The sequence below is a fragment of the Homo sapiens genome, chromosome 16 (assembly GCF_000001405.40).
Source record: "Homo sapiens chromosome 16, GRCh38.p14 Primary Assembly".
Lineage (NCBI taxonomy): Eukaryota > Metazoa > Chordata > Mammalia > Primates > Hominidae > Homo > Homo sapiens.
This window is the reverse complement of record NC_000016.10, coordinates 49,212,786-49,217,598: the sequence shown is the minus strand read 5'-3', so window position 1 is coordinate 49,217,598 and position 4,813 is coordinate 49,212,786. Positions and strand designations below refer to the sequence as shown.

Sequence of the window (4,813 nt, the reverse complement as noted above, 5' to 3'; positions counted from 1 at the left end):
CCTATTTTTGAGGTTTTGGGACTCGAGCTGGCTTCCTTGCTCCTCAGCTTGCAGACAGCCTATTGTGGGACTTCATCTTGTGATCGTGTGAGTCAACACACCTGAATAACCTCCCCTTCATATACACATCTATCCTACTAATTCTGTCCCTCTAGAGAACCCTCACTAATACACAGGCTCTACTTATGCAGTGGCCAAGACATGTATCTGACAGCCTTGGGCTTGTGTTCTACCAGCTTGACACCTGTTTGCAAAGAGGAGGGTCTCTTTTTCCAATAATTCAAGCAAAAGTCCCAGGATTGAATCTTAACTGGTCAGGTGTCTCGTCTGAGCCAATCACTGTCACCCAGATAATGGAATATGATATCTGACTGGAGATGTGTGATGTTTAACCCTCTGGGGCAGATTTTAGGATCATCTGCCCCTATACAACATTACCACATGTACTGAGTGGAGGTGGTGTGTGTGTGCCTGTACGTGCATGTGTGTGTGTATGTGTGTAAGAGAGATTCATTTAAGGCTAGAAATTTCTTTAAAAAACCCAAAGTTACAATAAATGGAAAGTCTCCAAAGTAAACTAAACTTATTGATTAGATAAAACAACTAGAAGATAGAAAACCAGTGTCTAATAAGATTCTTTCCTCGCAGGCTGACTTCTATCCTGACAGAATCAGAACTCATGCTGGCTCTTGCCTTTCTTCTTCCTCCTTTTAAATGGCTCTCTTCCTGGTTCTTTGATCTCTGCTTCTCTCAGTCTTTCTCCCTCCTTCTCTTCAGGCTCCTGGGTAGGGACAGGAGAGAGACTGCTAAGGCAGGTGCCTGGCTACACCTGGTGCCCTGCAGAGCTCCTCCCTCTCCACAGGGGCGTGTAGGACTTCCATGGAAATCTCTGGTATCAGTACCAGGAACTGTTTTCTGACTCTCACTCACCCTGCGCCTAATTCCCAGCCACTCTTTTCTGTTCTTTCTGTTTCTATCTGAGTATCTGATCCTAACTTTAAAAATCCTTTCTTTATTCCCCACTTTCTCCCAGGTACTATCTGAATGCTCTGTTCCTATTGCACAAGGTTTTTCAAATCAGTTATTCATAACCACATCACCACTTTCTCACCTTTATTCTCTCTTCATCCCAGTGATGTTCAAAATTCCATCCACACTACTTGACTGAAACTACTTTTGTCAGTCACCAATATGTACATGTTTCCAAAGCCAGCGGCCACCTCTTTATTCTCATCTAACCCAGCCACTCAGCCCCACTTGGTGTAATTGATCCCCCCGTCCTCCTTAAAACACTTGACTCTCTGCCTGTCCACCAACCTCACTTGCTGCTATTCCTTAATTTCCTTGCTTGGTACTTTCTCCTCTTCATGACACTTAAGGATTAGAAGGCTCCAGGGGCTAGTCTTTGGCCATCTCCTTACCTAAGAGCATCTCCCTGGATGCCCTTATTACTAAATATTTGGTAATATTGCCTATGACTCCCAAATATCTACCTCAAACCTAGACTTCTCCCATGAATTCAAGTTTGTATTTCTAAATGCTTTATTTACATTTTCACATGGATGTCTAACAGCCATTCCCTGAACTTACATCTGAGTCTTCTCATGTTAATAAATGGCACTGGCCAGGTACGGTGGCTCACGCCTGTAATACCAGCACTTTGGGAGGCTGAGGTGGGTGGATCACGAAGTCAAGAGATCGAGACCATCCTGGCCAACATGGTGAAACCCCGTCTCTATTAAAAATACAAAAATTAGCTGGGTGTGGTGGCACATGCCTGTAGTCCCAGTTACTCGAGAGGCTGAGGCAGGAGAATCACTTGAACCTGGGAGGCAGAGGTTTCAGTGTGCCAAGATTGCACCACCGTACTCCAGGCTGGCAACAGAGCAAGACTCCATCTCAAAAATAAATAAATAAATAAAAATAAAAAATAAAAATAAGTGGCACTAATATTCACCCAGTTATTCCAGCTTAAACAATCTGGATATTATTTGAGATTCCTTTTTTTTCCCCTATCTTCTTCTTGCTAACCCCATGTACCAGCATGCTGTAAAAAATACCTAAAACGTGGAAGTAACTTTGGAATTGGGTAATACATACAGTCTGGAAGAGTTTTGAGGAGGTACATAATAGAAAAAGCCTAAATTGCCTTGAAGAGCCTGTTGCTAGAAATGTGAATGTTAAAGTTGCTTCTGGTGAGGTCTCAGATGGTAATAAAGAACATGATATTGAAAACTGGAGAAAAAGTGAACCTTGTTAAACTGGCAGAAAACTTGGATGAACTGCACACTATTTGTGAAAAGTAGAACTTGTGAGTGATGAACTTCAATATTTAACTGAGGAAACTGTCAAGAAAAGTGTTGAAGGCCAGGTGCGGTGGCTCAAACCTGTAATCCCGGCACTTTGGGAGGCTGAGGCAGGCAGAGCACTAGGTCAGTAGTTGGAGACCAGCCTGCCCCACATGGTGAAACCCTATCTCTACTAAAAACACAAAAAATTAGCTAGGCATGGTGGTGCAGCCTGTAATCCCAGCTACTTGGGAGGCTGAGGCAGGAGAATTGCTTGAACCCAGGAGGCAGAAGTTGCAATGAGCTGAGATCACGCCACTGCACTCCAGCCTGGGCAACAGAGCAAGACTCCATCTCAGGAAAAAAAAAAAAAGAGAGAGAGAAAAGTGTTGAAGGTATGGCCTGGTTTCTCCTTTTTACTTATAGTAAAATGCAAGAGGAAAGGAAGAAATTGAAGAAGAAATCGTTTAGCAAAATGGAACCAGAACTGGAAGATTTGGAAAATTCTCAGCCTACCCATATTGCAAAAAATGAGAAGGTATGTTATGAAGAGAACACTCAAGGGTGTGGCTGAATGACAATTCACTAAAGGGATTAGATGTGTGACTTGAGGATCTAATCAACTTTCTTAGTAGAAATGCTGCCAGCTTGAACTGAAGGGGACAGAGATAGGATGAAATGAAGGAAGGCTGTTGGACTTCTAGGATTCTATGCATGAACTATGTCTTACTGATTTTAATCCTATATCCTCAATCTGTCTACCTCTCCATCTCCACCTTATTATTCTGGTCCAAGCTACCATCGATTCTTTGTGTTGCCACCATCTCTTCAGTGGCCTCATAAATGTTCTTCATATTTACATCTTGTCTCTCACCTACCCCAACATGTATTCTACAGAGCAGCCAGAATAAGTTTTTTACAAATGTAAATCACATCTTTTCACGCACCTGCCCAAAATACTTTGACATGTTCTCATCATGCATGATATAAACCATGATCTTTAAGGCCGTACTTACGGGTTCCTCACTGCTTCTTGACATAATCTTCTCCCCAACTCTGATCCATCCACACCAGTTTTCATTGCTGTTGTTGCTATTCCTCAAATAATCCAGGCTTTCTTCTGCCTTAGGGCGTTTACGCTTTCTATTTTCTCTGCCTAGAAAGTATTTCCACCAGAAATTTATTTCTGTTTTTTTTTCTCCAAATTAGGTATCAGCTCAAATATTGCCTCCTTCAAGAGGTCTACCCAGACCACTAGGTGCTATAGATTTTATTTTACAAATGGGAACAGAACGATCCAGGAAGGGTAACAATTTGTCTGAGGCCCCAAAGCTAGAGAGTGTAGTGGGACGCAGGATGAGAGGGCATGGTTGTGACCTCCTAGCTCAGGGCTTTTGCTGCCTGAATCCATTGAGTACACATACAAATGCTAATTCCACTCATCCTGGGGAAGACAGTGGGATTACCGAAGCCTCTTCTCTTGTCTGTCTGTCGCATTAGGGAAGGCCCCCTGACTTGGAGCCAAGCCAGTGGGATGCTCTTTGTATTCCTCCTCCATCCATCTTGGTTTGATTATTATGCGGTGAACGGCTGGCTCTTGAAAGATTACAACTCAGCTTGGGCCAGTGAGATGCAGAGTGCAGTGGGGCATTCTGAGTGTCAGCCAGACTTCAAAAGCAGCCTCTGAAATGGAGACAGCCAGAGCCATTCTCACTTTGTCATGAAGGCAGACACAGCCACAAACCGTGAAGATGGCTTAGATGCTGCACAACCTGCTGGTCTACCTGAAAATTTCCCTTCTCCACAGGGCACTAGCTGGCTTCCTTGTGGTTCTAACAGCAAAGCAGGGGACAGTCACAACTCCCCTAGTCACTCTAGCTAGCCTGACACATCACTACACCTGCACAGACATGAGACCTCCCCTTCCTCCCCTCTCCCCTTCACCCACCTTCTGACTCCTACCTTCTCCTGCAGGAAGGCCACATCCCATTTCCTCCAGAAAGATTCCCAGTGTGTTGGGCTTGATTTGAATTCTGACTTGATCTTTCTTCTCATCCTGTTTCCCAATCCCAGTGGCTTTACTCTGTGCTTGGAGGGCTTCTCTACTCCCCAGTGCTACAGACTATCAGAGAATAGCAGGACTTAGACACCCACAGGGCCAGAAAATAAACAGGCAAAACCACTGGGATTTTGTTTGCTAGGATAACAGTGCACAAGAGACCAGAAACCTTCACTGGAAGGAACATCCCTGGCCTGGATGAAGAGCTCAAATTGAGGATCCTACCTGCTTTGATATCCTAAATACCATTTCAGCTGGTCAGGAGCAGGAGAACTGCAGGGAGGTTTATCCATCACTTTTCTTTACTCTTTCATTGAGTCACTGGTCTAGAACCACTTAGTCAGAAATGATGGAATTGTTCAATATCATGGATTCAGAAGGCAGTGGCCACGGCAATCATTCTCTGGCCCAGTGGCTGGCTCATTTATGGCCTCAATGAACTGAAGGACAAAGGACCCTGCCAAGC

The 4,813-nt window shown here is 44.2% G+C and overlaps 2 annotated features.

Annotated features, from left to right (window-relative positions):
- Positions 450–973: an enhancer, noted in NCBI's record as "NANOG hESC enhancer chr16:49250537-49251060 (GRCh37/hg19 assembly coordinates)". NCBI's record gives its function as "activates a minimal SCP1, AML or CMV promoter by ChIP-STARR-seq in naive H9 embryonic stem cells {active_cell/tissue: H9 hESC(naive)}" and the evidence as "EXISTENCE:reporter gene assay evidence [ECO:0000049][PMID:30033119]".
- Positions 3,494–4,091: an enhancer, noted in NCBI's record as "OCT4-NANOG-H3K27ac hESC enhancer chr16:49247419-49248016 (GRCh37/hg19 assembly coordinates)". NCBI's record gives its function as "activates a minimal SCP1, AML or CMV promoter by ChIP-STARR-seq in naive and primed H9 embryonic stem cells {active_cell/tissue: H9 hESC(naive and primed)}" and the evidence as "EXISTENCE:reporter gene assay evidence [ECO:0000049][PMID:30033119]".